Source organism: Homo sapiens, chromosome 11 (genome assembly GCF_000001405.40).
Source record: "Homo sapiens chromosome 11, GRCh38.p14 Primary Assembly".
Classification (NCBI taxonomy): domain Eukaryota; kingdom Metazoa; phylum Chordata; class Mammalia; order Primates; family Hominidae; genus Homo; species Homo sapiens.
Genome location: NC_000011.10, coordinates 106,729,283 through 106,752,066, shown reverse-complemented (window position 1 = coordinate 106,752,066; position 22,784 = coordinate 106,729,283). Strand labels below are relative to the sequence as shown.

Sequence of the window (22,784 nt, the reverse complement as noted above, 5' to 3'; positions counted from 1 at the left end):
ATTTAACATATTGTAACTTGCAAATAAATTGTGTGTGTAAATTCCTGTGTTGTATGTACTAGGCTGTGAGAACTTTCCTGTTTGGGACTATGTCCTGTTCATCTTTGTATATCATAGTGCAAGGAATTTATTATTTGTGAATTAAACAGATTTATCAATGTAGAAATATATAAAATTCTGCAGCAAAATATGGAAAATTATATCCTGATATACGTTTGTTAATTCTTTATTCATTTTTCATACATTGGTTTTACATATAAAATATTATCAAGACACTACCATGTGCTTAATACAAGGTACTAAATAAACTGAAATTTATTTTATAATTTAATTCTACAAATAAATCCACTCTGGTAGCATTTGGGGAATATAATATTGACTTTATATTTTAAAATAAAAATATGAAAGTTTATTTTATTTTATTTTATTTTGAGAAAATACTGGCAAATTAGAAAATACTGGCAAATGTTTTTGCACGTGGTCTCTTAAGAACCATAGCTCAGAACCCTGGGATGTGATACAGTACTATTCACATCAGTACTACTCAGACACATTGAAAACCTGGTCCTGTGTCAAGTCCCATGAAGGGAATCCCTAAGGGAATAGAGAAGAGAATGCTATTTAATGATTTGATGCATGATAGTAACCACAGGAGAATAAAACTTCGAAAGAGTCTTTATAAACTGGGTTTAATGAAACTGATCATTTCCAGTTCTATTGTATATCATTTACTGCCTTAGCTGGCAAGACTCTAGAAATAGAAATAGAGAAGATTCTTCCTTCTCATATGTGTACATTTTAATATCTTGAATATAGAGGACTACTTATAGAATTCAGTGAAGTCACCAAAGGTTGAATAATTAGCTATTTCTGCCCTTTACTAGTTGTTAGATTTAACATTATCAACCTTTGCAGTGAAAAGTAGAAAAAATACAAACTGCACCAACAGTTGGGCTAGTCATACATTTTACACAGTGACAATATCCCATTAAAATGGTATTCTTAAAGAGGAGATGTGTGAATTAATATGCAGTGGCACATAGAATTAACCAGGCATCATCATTTTATTTCAGAAGCACTCATATGATTAAATTTCTGAGCTAAAAATTCATCCTTAAAAGTTATACTTTAGCAGAATGACTGATTTTATTTTATAGCTGTCAATTTGATTGACAAGTAGGATCCATCAAGTGTGTTTCTATTCTTGTAATCCAGGGACACCTTGAAAAGATTTCGCAAGAGAAAAGAAAGAAATATTATAGAAAAAAAAAAGGAAATCGCATGTCTAATTAAGAGCTTAATTTGTGATGAAAATACATAATTTTTTTTTTACATCCACTATGGTGCTAAAACAACTACACTGGAAAAATCCCTTAGTTATGGGGTAATTGGTATGAATCAAATATCTTTCTTATTTAGAAACCATTTATAGTGCTGAATTCATTTCATTTATAGTAGTGTCATTTTGTATTTTTATGCAGTTTGAATTGGTACTGTTTTCTAATTGCAGCAAGGACTTTACTGCATAATAATTTAAAATTTTAGCTTTGTAATAGCTCATGAAAATATTCAATATTTTGTTTTGTTGTGATGGTTAATATTAGGTGTCAACTTGATTGGACTGAGGGATGCCTAGATGGCTGGTGAAGCATTGTTTCTGGGTGTGTTTGTGAGGGTATTGCCAGAGGAGACTGACATTTGCCTCAGTGAGCTAGGAGAGGAAGACCCACCCTCAGTGTGGGTTAGCATCATCCAATCAGCTGCCAGCATGGCTAGAATAAAGCAGGGGGAAGAAGGTGGGATAAGCTGGCTTGCTAAATCTGCCGGCTCTTTTTCTTTTGCCTGTTTTGGACACTTGCTTCCACTCTTCTGCCCATAGATACCAGACTCCATGTTCATTGGCTTTTGGAATCTGTGACTTGCACCAGTGGCTTCCCCAGGGCTGTCAGGCCTTCTGCAGCAGACTGAAGGCTGCACTGTCAGCTTTTCTGGTTTTGAGTCTTTCCAACTTGGACTGAGAAATTATAGGCTTCTCTCCCCAACTTGCAGATAGCCTATCATGGGACTTCACCTTGTAATGATGTGATCCAATTCTCCCTAATAAACTCTCTCCTATGTATACATAGATCCAATTGTTTCTGCCCCTCTGGAGAACCCTAATACAATCATATTTACTGGTGTATTTAGTGCTAGATGTTTACATGATATAATGGTGTGAGTTCTCAAGAATCTGAGATAAGGTCTTGGGTGTAGGTAGTTTACTTGGAAGGAGATCCCAGGGTCAGGAATGAGAGTGAAGAGTGAGAAGGAGGAAAGGGCAATGTACGAGTACGTTTTCAAGGTCATGCCTCTGTGAGCAATGTGGACTAGATTCCACTGGGGATTGCTCCTAAGAGGCATAGAGAATACCTCTTAAATTATCTGTCTAGGGAAGAGCAGGCAAGAACATATATCCACTGGTTCTTCTATATTGGTTAACACTCCAAGGACATTAACTCCTTCTCACTTCCAGGCTGCATTAACTTACCTCAAGGCAAAAGGTGATCAGTATAGAACAAGCCTAAAAGCTCCTAAGAACAGTCCAGTAGCTATGGCTGAACTCAGAGGTGGGTGCAGAGGCTGTGAGGTGGAGCAGCAGAGGGATTCTGTTAGGCAGGGGTTATGTAACATGATTGATTCCGCAGCCCAAAGGAGAACTTGACACCCAAATAGCACCAAAAACAATAGATTTCAAATATTTTCTCTTGTGGACAATACATACATTACAGTTATTTATGTGTCGCTTAATGACAGGGATATGATCTGAGAAATGAATCATTAAATGATTTCATCATTATGCAAATGTCACAGAGTGCACTTACACAAACCTAGATGGTACAGCCTGCTGCAAATTTAGGCTACCTGATACAGCCTAGTCCTCCTAGGCTACTTAACCTGTACCGGATGTGACTATACTGAATACTGTAGGCAGTTGTAACATGATGGTAAGTATTTATGTATCCAAACAAGAAAAGGTATAGTGAAAATACAGTATTATAATCTTAAGGGATTGCCATTGTATATGTGAGCCCATCATTATCCAAAATGTCATTATGTGACACATGACTGTATATGATTCTACTGGGCATACAGAGACAAAAATTTATGAAATAATACCCTTGCTGTGCACAATGAGGTCTGATGTTTTCTATTCTGTTCTACGCTGTGTTATTCTGTTCTATTTAATTAAACACTGCTCTTCATAACTCCCTAAAGTAATTTTTAAATCCATGGTTTGGAAAACATTGGCCGAAAAGATAATTAATTTACCTAAGAAGGTAAATATTAGCGTATTAAAAATAATGGAAATCATGTAACCTAAGCCATATACAGTGAGATGTTTAGAAATAAAGGTCATAGTTTTAAGGTCAAGAAAGACTCAATTCTTAAGAAATTAGAAAATAGAGTAGCATGGTTTAAATGTGTACCATGGTTCTAGATTTCATCTGTCAGTGTTTCAGAATCTGCAAATGGATAAAGAACATCTAGCTCCCTAAGAGAATTAACAGGGAGGGAACACAGAAGGGCTGAAAAATGAGGTGCTGTTCTCCTTCTTTTACCTCAGCTGCTGTGATTCCTGCTATCCCAATTCATATACATATAGTGAGGAGAATTCGTATATACAGCCTGTATAAGTATGTGTACATATACACAGCCAGCTAGATGTTACCCTATAGGTAGAGCTTCCTAGTGCCCTATCTCAGGATCCTTTTGCATCTTATGTTTGTTTCAGGTTGTTTTGACAGTTGTCACTTTTAAGCTTCTTTTCTCTTTTCATAGAGAAAGAGCTTTCAGTCTCCTAAGAGGATAGCTCTATTATCATAATCACCTTTTAGAAGAGAAAATTACCTGTAATTTTTATGCTCTGAAGGTGTGTCATCATAATTCAGCCACCCACTTTACCCTCAAAATCAAATGGATTTTTTTAAAGAAACTTCTTTATTCTTTCTTATTGCATTTTCTTTGGAGGAAATGAGAGCTTAAGAATATGGGAAATCCCATCAAGTTTCTATGAGCTTTGCTGCCTCTTTCTACTGTCAGCTGTTGTGTTTAAGGATATCACAGCCACAGTGATCTGCAAGCACTGCTGTTGTAAGACTTGTCTCAACAGAGTACAGTTTAAAGAGTAAGTGAACAAGTAAGGGAATAGTAACCCTCACACAAGCCATAACTTTCCATCAGATCCCTCATGCTTACAAGCTCCACCTTTGCTGTTGTGTACACAGCTCCTCCTGGAAGCCCGACCTCCCCATCCCACCCCAGCACTCCTGTAAATCTGTCTCATGGGAAAGATAACACAGGAGTGTGTGCTCACAGGTTACCAATCAATATCAATATTTCACCAAATCTCAGTTGTAATTGATTATCTTCCAGTTATTGGAGAATAAACCCCAAAAGGGGTGGATAAAGGGAAAAAATGCAAAAACCCAGAATGTCATGTGCCTTTTGCCAGCTACTGCTGGATGTGTTCTACAACTGAGTACACAGCTGTTTCTAATAAACACTATTAGTACTAATCCTTAAGCAGTTATTGCCTTCTCCTCATTGCAGTAGATCCTCCAGTATAGCAATCTGAAAAACTGACCTCATTGTCAAGTCAATTGGTGTCTTGTGAAATGACAATTTGGTGGTAAAGTAACTTTCGCAAAGTGTTGCCTACTACAGATTCTGAAAAGTATCAAGGTTAAAAAATTTATTTAACTTTTCAAACCTAGAATTTCTCACATTTATTATTTCATGGGCCGGGCGCGGTGGCTTACGCCTGTAATCCCAGCACTTTGGCAGGCCGAGGCGGGCAGATCACGAGGTCAGGAGATCGAGACCATCCTGGCTAACACGGTGAAACTCCATCTCTACTAAAAATACAAAAAAAATAGCTGAGCATGGTGGCAGGCGCCTGTAGTCCGAGCTATTTGGGAGGCTGAGGCAGGAGAATGGCGTGAACCCGGGAGGTGGAGCTTGCAGTGAGCCAAGATTGCGCCACTGTACTCCAGCGTGGGCGACAGAGCGAGACTCCATCTCAAAACAAACAAACAAAAAAAACCCACATCTTTTGATTCTTAAAGGACAGTGACTATTTGCACAACTCAGTATGGAAAATAAGGTTTTGCCCAGCGTGCCATTTTTTATCACGTGGGTGCCTTTACACTCCTTTTTCTACGATGCTTTCTCCAAGTTCCCTTGGAATATTCTCTCATCCCTTCAAATGACAGAGCTTCCTATGCCAGATAATTTTTTTATTGTACCACCAATGTCAACCTCAGTGACATTGGCCATAAACTACAAAATCATGGCTATATGTATATGCAAATAAAAAATGTCACAGTACTGATTTTTTATTTTTGTCCCTTGATTCACTTGGTGTCTCGGTGTGACTTTTCAAGCCCCAGAGGAGTGAACTCCTTTTCTCCTTTCCTGTTTCCATCCAGCTGGTTCCAGATCAGCATCAAAGTGAAACGGATTTGGGTACTGAAAAGGTAATGAGCTTCACTTATAGGGAGAAGGAAAACAGAGGATACAGCTATGCATATTGGTTATTACTTACTTCCTTGAGTATAATCCTTATTCATTTATTCAAATATCATCATCATCCTTTTGTTTGTAGTAGTACTGGTAGTTTGTTGAGACTCTACTTTGTCCCAAATATTATTTAGAGCATATGTAAATGTTAATTTTTTCAGTCCTCACAGAAACCCTATAAAGTATGTCTCACATTCTTCACTCTACAAATAAAACAGGCCAAGAAAAATGAAGACACTTGCCCCAGTCACATGGTAATATATGGCAGAACCAAAAATCAAACTTAGGTCACTTTAGTTCAAAGCTTTTTTTTTTCCCTCCACTATGAGCTACTGCTCTCCAGGCTTGATCATCTCTTGGGTGCTAGCCACTGATATGCTCCCCAGATTCCAGTGGCTTTCATTCATGGCTTCTACTTCACCAGGAAGTGCCTGTCCTTTAGCCAAAGAGAAAATACTTTTGTTTTTGCCCCAGTTTTTTTGTCCTGGTAGTGGGGCTAAAGATGGAAATTCGCCATTTGTTTCTATAATAGATACTGATAAGGACCACCAAAATGATGGAAAATGTGCAAGCTTCAAAGCAAAAGCCTACAAGAAGGGAGTATAAACTGAAAAAGTTACATTAGATAGCACAGATTTGCTGGGCTCAAAATATATCCCTCTGGCTGTCATTAGCACAGAACTATAGTAGGATTTAAGAAATGTTTGAAGAATTCATGGCAAAAGATAAAATGTGTTATCCAGTTGCAAGACATCATAGAGACCATGAGGGACCACATTTGCAAATATAGTTCATTCTGACAACAGTTGTGTGTGCATCTTAGGACAGTCATTACATATGGTTAGTCATTATTTATGGAATATCTATTGTATACAGATGGGTTGGTAGTTAAGAAGGAAATATTCTTTAGCTCCTGTTGCTACAAAATAAACATTGATCAGTGTTTACACCATGCCAAGAAAGTATTTGAATATTAAAATCTCAATTCACTAAATGGTGGTATGTGGCAACAAATGGTAATTAAAATAAATATTTGATAGGTTTTTATTGTTTAAAATGGGAGGCAATTTAGTGAGAGTTATAATACACAGTGGTATAATAAAATGGCTAATAAATTTCACTGTTTTTTAAGAAGTGGAGAACCAATTAGACAAAGTACTTCTCATTTATTTTTTAAGAGAGAAAGAGAGTGTGTGGGTGTGTGTCCATTCACACATGTCACTACACATTACCCTAGAACACTGTGGGGTTTAGTAAGACCCTTTTAAATATAGAATGCCATTAAATAAAAATACAGAAACTAGTTTTCAGTCTAAATATAGTAATATAGTAACTGCTTGTTGCACTTATTGTGAATATTTCAGAGGATAAACCATGGCAAATCGTTCAATCCTTTCCTTTTTTCTGTACTTTGTTAACTCATGGTAAATTTAACCTGTTTTTCTCTCTTAAATCTAATAATTTTTATTCTTTTCCTTCATAATTAACAGTGTTTTAGATAGTATTTTAAATAATTTTATACAAAGTAGTTTACACTCACAAGATTTTTTTTAAAATTCAAAATATTTGATGAGGCAGCCTTTTCAGAAATGTCAAAGTAGTAATGCTTAACTAAAGTATATAGCAGTTTAAGGACAAAGAGAAGTCAATCATTATCCATGTTGACAACATGAGTACCCACCAAAATATAATTTTTAATGAGGTACACAATTAGCTGCTTTTATATGGATCATAATATAAGTTCTGCCCCATCCCCCACTCCATCATTCTATGATGACAAATTACTATTTTTGAATGTTGGGGAAGCGCTAGCAAGCTCTTTCTTTGTTCACTCAGTAAAACAGGTTTTATATGGCTCTTCAAATAACTCCTAAAACAAACTTATTATAAGACATGACAAGTAAACCTTCCTGCTTATTACTTTTCATAAGCACATCTTCAAAAATGTCCAAAAAAATGTAAGGTCAAAAGGATAAGGGTGGGGAAAGCTTGTACAAGATAAAAGTTAAATTCTTTGGGAAGGCAACCATTCCGATGATTTAAAAAGCATTTATGTAACATGGTGAAACCCTGTCTCTACTAAAAATACAAAAATTAGCCGGGTGTGGTGGTGGGTGCCTGTAGTCCCAGCTACTCAGGAGGCTGAGGCAGGAGAATGGCATGAACCCAGGAGGTGGAGCTTGCAGTGAGCTGAGATTGCACCACTGCACTCCAGCCTGGGTGACAGAGCGAGACTCCGTCTCAAAAAAAAAAAAAAAAAAAAGCATTTATGTTGATGATTGATGAGACACAGAAAGATATTTGCTATACTAGAAGTTTACAGAGTTTCTCATATCCTCCTCAACTTTCTTGTTTTCAGTACTCTTTTCAATTAGGAATGATAGGAAACTGTATTTCTTTTCCTTGATGGAGTAACAAAGGGTGATAGGAATACTCCTTATTTAATAATGATGTATGTTATACATCCATGGTCTTCTTGGTCGTTCATTCCTGAGCTAGTTTCTAAATTAGAACTTGATTCATCTAAAAATGGGGTGGATTCTTAAACTAGGGACTTACAGGAAAAGGCAACCTTTTAGTTTTCTGCATATTGTATTCAACTCTGGAATCTTGTGTCCAGTTCTGGGCATGTTCATAGATTTAATTCATGTCAACAAATATTTACTCAGTGCCACTTTATACATAAAACACTACCCTAGGACTTTGGTTGTCCAATCAAGATCCTATCACATTCTATATTATGCAAATAACTAGACTTTTTACAAACTGAATGGCTTTCCCTGGCCTCAGTGTATTTACAAACTAGTAGAAGAGACAAATACAGAAACACATAATTAAAATACAGAAAAATAAATACAAAATTAGTATATGGATAGCATATGAAAGGTAAAGGAGGTCCCAATCCCGCCCTCTAGTCATGGAAACCACGAGTTCGTTATTAATACAAAGTCAATGGAGGGTAATTGAGTGACAGGAAGAGAGACAGGTGCTGGGCAGAAACCACATCAGTGCACTTGTGACATTTTATTTAATGGTAAATTCTATCATATTCATGGTAATTGCCTGTGACTGCAAAATGAGGAAAGGTTACATGTATTTGTCTTCTCATCATTATCACCACTGTAAACTTTTTTCTAAATACCCATATGTGGGTGGAGCTAATAGAAGCCCCACATTTTTGTTAGAACCATTGTGGTCACCTGAGAACTCGTGACCTTTTTCAAGCGGGAAGGTACCTCTCTGGTAGCTTTATGTATTATGAATTTGAAGGGACAAGCTTGGGAACAGAAAGATCAGTTAGGAGGTGACCATAGGAGTCACGTGAAAGCTGACAAAAGCCTGAGCTCAGGCAGTAGTGTTACAGATAAAGAAGAAGAGATGGAGCAGGATTCAAAAATATATATGTATATAAACTTACTTGATTAGATGAAGTACATGAAGGAATAAAAGACTACTCTTAGGATTATAGCTTGGGTAGTAGCAATTTAGTGGTGTGGTACTATGACATTAATGGGAACCCACTGAACATCAAAAGAATATATTTATACTTTTCCATATTAGCAAAACCTAAAGAAGACTCAGATTAATAGGCAAATACCAAACAAAAAAATGAAGAGGGTACTTCAGAAGTACCTGTTTACTTATTGAAAGTAGTATCTGTTTACTCATTGAAAATTCATCCATTTGAAAGCGTTTACAATGTTGGTGGGAGTGTAAATTAGTTCAACCATTGTGGAAGACAGTGTGGCAATTCTTTAAAGACCTAGAGGCAGAAATATCATTTGACCCAGAAATCCCATTACTGGATATGTACCCAAAGGAATATAAATAATTCTGTTATAAAGATACATGCACACATGTTCATTGCAGTACTATTCACAATAGCAAAGACATGTAACCAACCTAAATGCCCATCATTGATAGGCTGGATAAAGAAAATGTGGAACATATACTCCATGGAATACTATGCAGCCATAAAGGGGAACAAGATCATGTCCTTTTCAGGGACACAGATGGTTCCTGGAAGCCATTATCCTTAGTAAACTAACGCAGGAACAGAAAACCAAATACCACATATTCTCACTCGTAAGTGGGAGCTGAATGATGAGAACACATGGACACATGAGGGGAACAACCCACAGTGGGGCCCTTCAGTGGGTAGTGAGTGGAATGAGGGAGAGCATCAGGAAGAATAGCTAATAGATACTGGGCTTAATATCTAAGTGATGGGATGATCTGTGCAGCAAACCACCATAGCACATGTTTATCTGTGTAACAAACCTGCACATCCTGCACATAAAAGTTGGAAAGAAAAAAAAAGAAAATTCATCCATTTGAAATTCATGTGCTACTTTTTTCTCCCCACTTATTATTTGATTTTGTTGAGTGTATTTTGATAACAACATGAACTGTGAATAAAATGGCATGCAATTGAAAGGCAGTAATTGCTAGGTAAGTAATACTAAGTAGGTATAGTGGGGTCATATTTTTAATCAAGTGATAAATAGTTGGAGAGAACAAAAATGAACAGCCTTGTTATACATGCAAATGTCATAACTTCATTCAGTTTTATCTGTCTAGCTGTATGCACTATGTGGAAGTGAATGCAAGTCAAATTCATGAAGTAATTATCTAGATTAAGAACTAAAAGGATTCAGTGCACTTGATTGTTGACATTTTATTTAATGGTAAAATCTATCATCTTCATGATAATTGCTTGTGACTGCAAAATGAGGAAAGGTTACATGTATTTGTCTTCTCATCATTATCACCATTGTAAACTTTTTTCTAAATATCCATATGTGGGTGGTGCTAGTAGAATCACCACACTTTTGTTAAAAGCATTACGTTTGCTTTCTCCAGGATAATTCTGACAACAATAGTACAAAACTTATCATCTTTTATTTTGGTCCCTTACCTCCTCTATTTCCAATAATTTATTGGTGTCTAATGTAATACCATAACCTGTTCTCCCAAGCTCCATTTCTGTGGTTATTTTCTCCTTTTCCTTCTTCCTTCTCCTTTGATACACAATACCATCACATGTTGCTGATCTTTCCACTGCACTGCCTTTTTTGTTCAATAAAAATGTAAGGTCCCCAGCTCACATGTATGCTTCAGTGTGCAGCTCCAGAGCTGCTGTCCAATATGGTAGCCACTAGCCACATGTGACTATTGAATACTTTAGATATGGCTAGTCAAAATTGAGATGTGCTGTAAATAAAAACTACATACCAGACTTGAAGACTTTCTCCAAAATAAGAATATTTAAAAAGTCATTAATGATTTTTAATTTGATTACAGTTTGAACTGATAATACTTTGAATGTATTAAATAAAATGCTATTTAATTAGTTGGACTTTTTTGTTTTTAACATGCCTATTAGAAATTTTGAAATTGTGTACATCTCCTACATCTGAGGCCTACATTGTTTTTCTATTGGACAGCATTGCAATAAAGGACACTAGAGTTAAAGAGGGCATGCTCTCTGCTCCAAGACTGTGCAGCTAGACTAACTATAATATCATAAATTGGAGCCAGGCTTGGTGGCTCATGCTTGTAATCCCAGCACTTTGGGAGGCCAAGACAGGTGGATCACCTGAGGTTGGGAGTACGAGACCAGCCTGACCAAAATGGAGAAACGCTGTCTCTACTAAACGTGCAAAATTAGCCAGGCATGGTGGCACATGCCTGTAATCCCAGCTACTCAGGAGGCTGAGGTAGGAGAATCACTTGAACCCAGGAGGCGGAGGTTGCAGTGAGCCGAGATCACACCATTGCACTCCAGCCTGGGTAACGAGCTAAACTCTGTCTCTAAATACATACATACATACATACATACATACATACATACATACAGTGATATGGTCCATAGGAGAGTGTAAAGAGAAGAGTGAGTAAACATTTCTAACAGGGCATTTGAGGAAAGATCCATGGAAGAAGTGATATTGAATCATCATAGAAGGAGGGCAATGGTGTTAGCATTTCAAGTACAGAAGACAGTGTAAGTTAAGTCTTGGTGACAAGAAACAGGCTGCTGAAACAGTCACCTCAAATATTATTTTATCACATCACTGCTCTATGGCCAACCATAGAAAAATAAAAATCTATCCAGAAAATATTTTAAGCTTCTTACCAGTTTTTCTTAAAAGCATCTGTTTCTACTTCCTTACCTACTCCCACTGAGAAAAAAAGGTTCCTCTCAGGCCGGGCATGGTGGCTGACACCTGTAATCACAGCACATTGTTGGGAGGCCAAGGCACGTGGGTCACCTGAGGTGAGGAGTTTGAGACCAGCCAGACCAACATGGTAAAACTCCGTCTCTACTAAAAAATACAAAAATTAGCCGGACATGGTGGTGGGTGCCTGTAATCCGAGCTACTTGGGAGGCTGAGGCAGGAGAATCACTTGAACCTGGGAGGCGGAGGTTGCAGTGAGCTGAGATGTGCCATTGCACTGCAGCCGGGGTGACAGAGCAAGACTCCATCTCAAAAAAAAAAAAAAAAAAAAGTGCCTCTCAATGAGGTGTAAAGGTAGTGGTACTTACGGCAGACTAGAAAGATGCTATGTCAGTCGTGCTGCTAGGGACCTCTGAGGAGCTAAACTCTGGTTTTAGCTACTGAAATGGGAAAGAAGTAGCTCGCCTGTACCCATGCTTAACTCCAGGAGGGAGGGGAAACACAAGAGTAACACTTCCCAATAGTATGTCTCCTGAGAATTGGGATATCTTATGGTTCACCATAAAGTATCTGTTGAGTAAGGAAACATGAACAAAGGAAAAAGAGGCAGATAGAAATGAAGAAAGTAGGGAAAATCAATTCTAAAAGACATGTTTTATAGATAATAAGAAACTAATTAGGAGCATAAAAGAGAATTGAGGGTTATAGCTCAGGCAGTGCAGTATCCTCCACAGGTTTGAATTCAGGCACTGGCCTGTGCTGCCCTTAGGTTGTAGGCAAGCTGCTTACCCTCTCTGACTTTCAATTCCCTAATCTGTAAAAAGTAAAGTCTAAGAATTAGAAACAAGGTAAAACATAGTGTCTGGCACTCTGTAAGTGTTAAATAAATGTTAATTTTATGTTCGACCACTGTTTGCTAAATAATTTTGAAATGTATCCTTTTTTGGTTGATTCCCTGGGAATTCAGTTAGGAAGAGAGGAAGTCAAATTGTCTCTGTTTGTAGATGACATGATTGTATATTTACAATTGTCTCGGCCCAAAATCTTCTTAAGCTGAAAAGCAACTTCAGCAACATCTCAAGATACAAAATCAATGTGCAAAAATCACAAGCATTCCTATACACCAATAATAGACAAACAGCGAGCCAAATCATGAGTGAACTCCCATTCACAATTGCTACAAAGAGAATAAAATACCTAGGAATCCAACTTACAAGGGATGTGAAGGACCTTTTCAGGGAGAACTACAAATCACCGTTCAAGGAAATAAGAGAGGACACAAACAAATGGAAAAACATTCCATGCTCGTGGATAGGAAGAATCAATATCATGAAAATGGCCATACTGCCCAAAGTAATTATAGATTCAATGCTATCCCCATCAAGTTACCATTGACTTTCTTCACAGAATTAGAAAAAAACTACTTTAAATTTCATATGGAACCAAAAAAGAACCCGTATAGCCAAGACAATCCCAAGCAAAAAGAACTAAGCTGGAGGCATCACACTACCTGACTTCAAACAATACTACAAGGCTACAGTAACCAAAACAGCATGGTACTGGTACCAAAACAGATGTATAGACCAGTGGAAAAGAAAAGAGGCCTCAGAAATATTGCCACATATCTACCACCATCTAATCTTTGACAAACCTGACAAAAACAAGAAATGGGGAAAGGATTCCCTATTTAATAAATGGTGTTGGGAAAACTGGCTAGCCATATGCAAAAATCTGAAACTGGACCCCTTCCTTACACCTTATACAAAAATTAACTCAAGATGGATTAAAGACTTAAACGTAAGACCTAAAACCATAAAAACCCTAGAAGAAAACCTAGGCAATACCCTTCAGGACATAGGCATGGGCAAAGACTTCATGACTAAAACACCAAAAGCAATGGCAACAAAAGCCAAAATTGACAAATGGGATCTAATTAAACTAAAGAGCTTCTGCACAGCAAAAGAAACTATCAGCAGAGTGAACAGGCAACCTAGAGAATGGGAGAAAGTTTTTGCAATCTATCCATCTGACAAAGGGCTAATACCCAGATTCTACAAAGAACTTCAACAAATTTACAAGAAAAGTACAAACAACCCATCAAAAGTGGGCTAAGGACATGAAAGACACCTTTCAGAAGAAGACATTTATGCAGCCAACAAACATGAAAAAAAGCTCATCATCACTGGTCATTGGAGGAATGCAAATCAAAACCACAATGAGATACCATCTCACACCAGTTAGAATGGTGATTATTAAAAAGTCAGGAAACAACAGTTGCTGGAGAGGATGTGGAGAAATAGGAACACTTTTACATTGTTGGTGGGACTGTAAATTAGTTCACCCATTGTGGAAGACAGTGTGGTGATTCCTCAAGGATCTAGAACCAGAATTACCATTTGACCCAGCAATCCCATTACTGGATATATACCCAAAGGATTATAAATAATTCTATAAAGACACATGCACATGTATGTTTATTGTGGCACTGTTCACAATAGCAAAGTCTTGGAACCAACCCAAATGCCCATCAATCATAGACTGGATAAAGAAAATGTGGGACACATACACCATGGAATACTATGCAACCATAAAAAAGGATGAGTTCACATCCTTTGTAGGGACATGGATGAAGCTGGAAACCATCATTCTCAGCAAACTAACACAAGAACAGAAAACCAAACACCGCATGTTCTCACTCATAAGTGGGAGTTGAACAATGAGAACACAGGGACACAGGGAGGGGACATCACACACCGGTGCCTGTTGTGAGGGTGGGGAGCTAGGGGAAGGGTAGCATTAGGAGAAATACCTAATTTAGATGATGGGTTGATGGGTGCAGCAAACCACCATGGCACGTGTATAACTATGTAACAAAGTTGCATGTTTTGCACATGTACCCCAGCACTTAAAGTATAATTTAAAAAAAGAAAAAGAGATGGTCCACTCTAAGAGAAGTGGAGCCACCAAATCTACCTTAAAAAGAAGTAATCAAAAACCTCAAATGAATAAGCATTCTAAAGTGGATATACTATCTAAAGCCATACAATTAACTAGTTAACTATCACGGGGGAGCCAGAGTAAGTATGTTAAGTTCTCTTCTATTCATTAAACCACTTTGAGTGTACCATCTGTTTCTTGCTGGGATACTGAGTGATAAAACTGATAAATTTTTGTTCTTTTTTTGTACTTGTTTTAAAAATCAAAATGTGCGTCTACAATGAAAAGCAATGACAGTTTGAGTTACCAAAGTGCTAAGGGATTTGCTACTAGGATGGGTACCAACAATGTTAGTAAAGTCAGTGGAGCTGCCCTCTGTAGGCTAGTCCTGCCCTCCATAGACAAAAGATACTGCTGAAGGACTGGCTTCCCTGAGAGCAATGTGGTGGTATGCTCCCCAGATGAAAGAGACTGTCTGGTAGCACCTGATCATCAGAAACAAGCAAAATGCAATGATCACTGTAAGTGTCACGTTTGGAGATAAAAGGCAATCCTGTACTTTCTACCTTTAAAAACTACAGACTTTAAAAAAAATTGAAGACACACAAGAAATGGAAAGATATTTAATATTAATGGATCGGAAGGATCAATATTATTAAAATGTTCATACTACCCAAAGCAATCTACAGATTCAATGCAATCACTATCAAAATACTAATGACATTCTTCACAGAAATAGAAAAAATAATTCTGAAATATATATGGAACCATAAAAGACCCAAAATAGCCAAATCCATTATGAGCAAAAAGAATAAGACTGGAGAAATTACATTACCTGACTTAAATTATACTACAGAGCTATGGTAACCAAAACAGCATGGTACTGGCATAAAAATAGACACATAGGCTAATAGAACAGAATAGAGAGCTCAGAAATAAATTTATACATCTGTAGTTAACTCATTTTTGCCAAGGGTGCCAAGAACATGCATTGAGGAAAGGATCGTCTCTTCAATAAATGGTTCTGGGAAGACTGGATATCCATATGTAGAAAAACGAACTGGACCACTGTCTCTCACCATAGGCACATCAAATCAAAATAGATTAAAGATTTAAATTCTTAGACCTCAAACTATGAAACTACTAAAAGGAACCATTGTAGAAACTCTGCAGGACATTGGAGTGGGAAAAGATTCAATTAGTAGTAGCTCAAAAACACTGGTGACCAAAGCAAAAATGGACCAATAGGATCACATCAACTTAAAAAGCTTCTGTACATCAAAGGAAACAATCAAAAAAGTGAAGATACAACCCACAGAATGGGAGAAAATATTTGCAAACTATCTATCTGACAAGGGATTAAAAACCAGAATATGTAGGGAGCTCAAACAACTCAATAGGAAAAAAAACTAATAATTTGATTAAAAAATGAGTAAAAGATCTGAATAGACACTACTCAAAAGAAGACACACAAATGGAAAACAGGTATATGAAAAGGTGCTAAACATCCTTAATCATCAGAGAAATGCAAAACAAAACTACCATGAGCATCTCAACCTAGATAAAAATGGCTTTTATCCAAAAGACAGATGACAATGAATCCTGCTGAGGATCTGGAGAAAGGGGAACCCTCATATGCTGTTGGTGGGAAAATAAATTAGTACAGTTCTGTTGGAGAAGAGTATGGAGGTTCCCCAAAAATCTAAAAATAAAACTACCATATGATCCAGCAATCCCACTGCTAGTTATATACCCCACAGAAAGGAAATCAGTATATTGAAGAGATAACTGCACTCCCATGTTTATTGTAACGCTAGTCACAATAGCCAAGATTTGCATTCAACCTGTCCACAGACAAATTAATAAGGAAAATGTGGTACATATGCACATGGAATACTATTCAGCCATGAGAATGAGATCCTGTTATTTGCAACAACATGAATGAAACTGGAGGACATTATGCTAAGTGAAATAAGCCCAGCTCAGAAGGATGACTATTGCATGTTCTCACCCATTTGTGGGAGCTACAAATTAAAACAGTTGAACTCATGGAGATAGAGAGTAGAATGATGGTTACCAGAGACTGGAAAGGGTACTGGAAAGGAGAGAGGAAAATGGGGTTGGCTAATCGGTACAACAATATACTTAGATACAATGAATAAGATGTAGTATCTGATAGCACAACAGGGTGACTAGTCAGGAATAATTTTTTGTACATTTTAGAATAACTGAGGGAATACAACTGGAATCTTTATAACTCAAATAAATGATTAATGTTTGCAGTGATGGATATCTCATTTACCCTGATGTGATTATTACACATTGTATGCCTGTATCGAAATACTTATGTACCCCATAAATATATATACCTTCTATATAGCCATAAAAATAAAAAATTAAAAAAATAAAAATTAAAAGAAAATACTAGGAGAGTATTTTATTCCATCAATTCTAAAACACACCTTTTTCCTTCCTGTTGTTTAAAATCACTGAACCCAGGATATGTCTTACCATATTTGAAGAAAGACCATGGGTCCTAGTGATTGCAAACATTCTTTTGCTCATCTTCCGCTAAAATCGAGATGTTCCAACCTCAAAGCCTGAAGAGTGAAACCTCTTAAGAAATATTCTTGATGTCCCAGAGAATGAAACAGGTGGGAAAACATGGACAACAATACCTCCAACTTGAAAAGTGATTCAGAAGAGTTAGACCCTGAAAATGAGGAACTTTGGCAATAACTTCACAGCATTATTGTGCTTATATTTTCTTTTTATGTGTGACTAGAATGAATATAATAAAAAATATATCTAAATCAGTCAAATATTTTAGCAGTTGTTAAAGGAAATACTAAGATATGCAAACATGTCATGGTTTAATTTTTTCCTGGTGGTACACAAAATACTCATACCTTTTGCTATTGATGGAGTCTTACATTCTATGAAATACATTTATTTTTTTCAAACCTATTGTAAAAGGGTACATAAAAGATAGGACAGAGCAACACCCTCAAGTTTGTAGGATATTCTTATATATCCTTAGGCCAAGGCAGGCTAAGGGCAGAGGCATGAGGTAAGCAAAATATATCTTTGATTTTGACTTTCTGTTCTCTCTCAAGTAGAGAGAAGCAGGTCAGTGTAACTAAAGGGCAAAGAATTTGGAGTGCAGTTTAGTTCTTGCTCCAGTGGTTGCTGGTATGTGGATGTGTGTGGGTCATGTCAACTCTGTGTTTTTTCTGAGGATACTGATAAGGTTCATTAAAAGTGTATTTGAAAGGTGCCATAAAATACTATTAAATCATTCTTTCTTCTTTGCCTGTTTTACAAACAGAAAAGAAACTCAGTATAGTTTGTCTCAAGGGAGATTACTATATTGTTACCTATTCACATCCACAGTCATACACTGTGACTAACCAGTTATAGCCTACAGTCTACATGTGGCCAAATGTTTCAGAGTCTCTAGGAGATAGAGGAATGCTCCCCTAGGAGGAGTTGAGGAATGCATTTTCAAGAGAGGACTGATAATATTTCTAAGAGAGATTCCCTGATTGCCTTCGATATCCAAGTTTGGGCATCTCATTGCCAAGGTTCCTTCTCCTGGCCTGCTTCCTCAGTCTTTCTCCCCAGCTGTTGAGGGCTGTATTCCCTGTCCAAGCTCCTCCTCCTTTCCAAATTAGTTCCAATCAGTTCCCCTGGCCTGTCCCCACCACTCGGTCAGCTCGCTCAGTACTTCTAAACCTCATGTGTCTGCTCCGTATCTCTGTTCTTCAGAGCCAGTCTTTCTGTATCTTCAGTCTAGTAAGTGCTGCTTTCATAAACTAGACTTAAAATTTCATCGCATTTTAATAAAAAGTAATTACTTTATATATGATCTTTAAGCAGCTATTCTCTTAAAGAGGTACTAAATGGTGAGACTTTCTGGTAAGGGAAGAAGAGAGAATGATGCCTTGACCAGTGTTTGAGGAGTTAACTTCTTGAGAAAATATTGCTTACAGTCTGGTACCAACATATTATTGGCAGTAATATTCATTAAACATTGTTAGCATATTCGTAGTCTCTAAACAATGGCTTTCAAATATTTTGACTACAACTCATAATAAATACATTTTACATCCTGACCCAGAGCACACATATATGTTTATGTATATAAAAAGTACATCTAACTAAAAAAGATTCATTTAAAAAAATAAAACTCCTAGCCTTACAACTCACTAAAAGATTGCAACCAGCAGTTTAAAAAACCGTGATACATAACATGTCCTTTTGGCAAGTTTGAACAGCAATGTGTTTGGTGGTTTATGTTACTCGCTGGAAAACAAGCGTTTTTGAAACCATTATAGTGTTGAAAGAAAGTATAACAAATAATCTTAGATTACAGTTGTCTGTGATTATTCCAAATCTGAATTTTCCATTCCTGTGTTATTTTTCTCAGGGACTAAATTTCTAAATGTGATTTTGTAGCAGATGAATGAGACAGGGAAAGTAAGGCTATTGTTTTTATGAAATCTAGGCTACATTTTATTCCAATCTTGTTTCTGATATCTTTTCTCTTAAATTGATGTTATCATTCAGCTTCCATTAAGAAATGACTTCTGCATCCATTTGCCTTGTGTGTATATGTTCACAAATGAGTCAATCATATTTCATTCCTTAATTTCTGTAGTGAGAAAAACTGTCCATCCTAAAGGAAGAACTTGAAGAATTTCTTGCTCTCCTAATGGTTTTTCACTAAATCCAATTCTACTAAACATGTCATTGTTAGGAATAACATTTTGTTTTGTTTTATTTCAAGGATATGCTTCATCATCATCATTACCACCATCTAAATGCATTGTTGGCAGTATGGAAAGGCAACAATAATCTTTAACATTTAAATATTTTCTAGTAGGTTACAGATGCATTAAATATTCCATTTTGTCTTAGTGAACAAATTCAATAAATGAGGCTAAATGTCTTATGAAGCTAACTTTATGTACTTAAAATTGAAGAATATGAATATAAAAATATACTATATTTAATCCATCTTTAGTTAATTTTTGTAAGGAAGAGGTCTAGTTTAAGTCTTCTGCATATGGCTAGCCAGTTATCCCAACACCATTTATTAAATAGGGAGTCCTTTCTCTATTGCTTGTTTCTGTCGACTTTGTCAAAGATCAGATGGTTGTAGGTTTGCGGCCTGATTTCTGGGCTCTCTTATCTGTTCCATTGGTCTGTGTGTCTGTTTTTGTACCAGTACCATGCTGTTTTGGTTGCTATAGCAGGTAGTGTGATTCCTCCAGCTTGGTTCTGTTTGCTTAGGACTTCCTTGGCTATTTGGGCTCTTTTTGGTTCCATATGAATTTTAAAATAGTTTTTTGTAATTCAGTGAAGAATGTCATTGGTAGTTTGATAGGAATAGCATTGAATCTATAAATTGCTTTGAGCAGTATGGCTATTTTAACAATATTGATTTTTCCTATCCATGAACATAGAATGTTTTTCCATTTGTTTGTACCATCTCTGATTTCTTTGAGCAGTGTTTTGTAAATCTCATTGCAGAGATCTTTTACCTCCATGGTTAATTGTATTCCTAAGTAGGTAGTTTATTTATTTATTTATTTGGTGGCTATTGTGAATGGGACTGCATTCTTGATTTGGGTCTCAGATTGGATGTTGTTGGTGTATAGGAATACTATTGATTTTTAAATATTAATTTTGTATCCTGAAACTTTGCTGAAGTTGTTTATCAGATCAAGGAGTTTTAGGGTAGAGACTATGGGGTTTTCTAGGTATAGAATCATATTGTCTGAAAACAGGGTTAGTTTGACGTCCTCTCTTCCTATTTGGATGCCTTTTTTTTCTTTCTCTTGCCTCATTACCCTGGCCAGGACTTCTAGTACTATCTTGAATAGGAGTGTTGAGAGAGGGCATCCTTGTCTTGTTCCGGCTTTCAAGGGAAATGTTTCCAGCTTTTGCCCATGCAGTATGATGTTGATTGTGGATTTGTCATAGGTGGCTCTTATTATTTTGAAATATGTTCATTCAATGCCTAGCTTGTTGAGGTTTTTAACATGAAAGGATGTTGAATTTTATCAAAAGCCTTTTCTGCATCTTTTGAGTTAACCATGTGGTTTTTGTTTTTAGTTCTCTTTAGGTGATGAATCACATTAAAGGCATAAATGTATAACCTAAAACTATAAAAAACTCAGGAGGATAACCTAAGAAATACCATTTCAGACATAAGACTGGGCAAAGATTTTATGAGGAAGATGCCAAAAACAATTGCAACGAAACCAAAAATTGACAAAGGAGATCTAATTAAACTAAAGATCTGCACACCAAAAGAAACTATCAGGAGAGTAAACAGATAAGCTCCAGAATGGTAGAAAATATAAGGTCTAATATCTGGAATCTGTAAAGAACTTAAACATATTTCCAAGCCAAAAACAAACAACTTCATTAAAAAGTGGGCAAAGGACACAAACAGACACTTTTCAAAAGAAGACATACACATGGCCAATAAGCATATGAAAAAATGCCCAACATCACTAATCATTAGAGAAATTCAAATCAAAACCACAGTGAGATACCATTTAACACCAGTCAGAATGGCTATGATTAAAAAGTCAAAAAATAACAGCTACTGGCGAGGTTGTGGAGAAAAACGAATGCTTATACACTGTTGATGGGAATGTAAATTAGTTCAGCCATTATGGAAGACAGTGTGGTGATTCCTCAGAGACCTAAAGACAGAAATATCATTCAACCCAGCAATCCCATTACTGGGTATATACCCAAAGGAATATACATTGTTCCATTATAAAGACACATGCATGTGTATGTTCACTGCAGCACTATTCAGAATAGCGAGATATAGAATCAACCTAAATGTCCATCAATGGTAGACTGGATAAAGAAAATGTTGTTCATATATACCATGGAATACTACACAGCCATAAAAAAAGAATGAGAGCTTGTTCTTTGAAGCAACATGGATGGAGCTGAAGCCATTATTGTAAGTGAACTAACACAGGAACAGAAAACCAAATATCACATGTTCACTCTCACTTTTAAGTGTGAGCTAAACATCATGTACATACAGAGGGGACAACAGACACCAGGGCCTACTTTAGGGCAGGGGGTAGGAGGAGAGTGAGGATCAAAAAACTACCTATCAGGTACTATGCTTGTTACCTGGGTGATGAAATTATCTGTACAACAAACACCCGTGACATGCAATTTACCTATATAACAAACCTGCACACTTTTAGGTACCGCTGAACCTAAAAGTTTTAAAAACAGTATATATTATATACTATAATATATATATATATATATATATATATATATATATATTCCATGCTGATTAAAGAAAGCAGTTTTGTCATTAAAGAATGACATTTTTGCTTATCACTTGAGAATAATGTGCCTGTTTATGCCAATGTAGAAAATAGACTCTAATTTTTCATTCAACCTATGCATTCCACAAAGATAATTCCTGAGGGTTAGAAATGTACATAGACACAAGAAGATTACAATCAAGAGAGGAAACAGGTTTATAAAAAATAATTAAAATACAATGTGATCCCTTAGCTAGACCTTGAAAGACATGTAGAGGGGAAATTATTCCAAATGAGACAGCAGTTGTGAGAAACAATATCAAGATATTTTCACTCTTTCTAGCCTGGCATAATTAATTGTGATTACTCTGGCAAGTATGACATCTTCTAAATTTACAAAAACAGCTATTTTGTCATTGAGGGAATCATTTTTTGCTGTGCTGATATTACAATAATAAGCTGGCTTGTGTCATTGCAGAAAATGGTCTGTAATTAAATCTTCCTGAACTTCTAAAGAGCAGTTTCCACAAAATGGCTGTATCTTCTAATTTCCTTTCCATTTTCTCAGCAAGACATAGTCCCTATGACAAAAGTAAGATTTTTTGAATATATTTCTCAGTTTCCTGGCAAAGTTGCTCATTTGCAAAGTCACACACCCAGCCCACAGAAATTTAAAAAAAAACATATTTTAGTCATTCATTTGGCAATGCTTTTTACACAAACAGGTAATTAGGAACACTGAAAAGACTTAAAAGATCCTCAATCTGAAGTGATAACGCTCAGAGTATGTATT

The 22,784-nt window shown here is 36.5% G+C and overlaps 1 protein-coding gene across 2 annotated transcripts in view; it reads left to right on the top strand.

Annotated features, from left to right (window-relative positions):
- Window positions 1-22,784, top strand: part of GUCY1A2 (guanylate cyclase 1 soluble subunit alpha 2) — a 344,458-nt gene that overhangs the window by 266,410 nt on the left and 55,264 nt on the right. The window contains exon 7 of one of the 2 annotated variants that reach the window (NM_001256424.2): window positions 5,424-5,516. The exons of the other annotated variant lie outside the window; for it this stretch is intronic. Coding sequence (NP_001243353.1) covers window positions 5,424-5,516 — 93 coding nt within the window. The remainder of the gene's footprint in view (window positions 1-5,423; window positions 5,517-22,784) is intronic. 2 annotated transcript variants of the gene reach the window in all.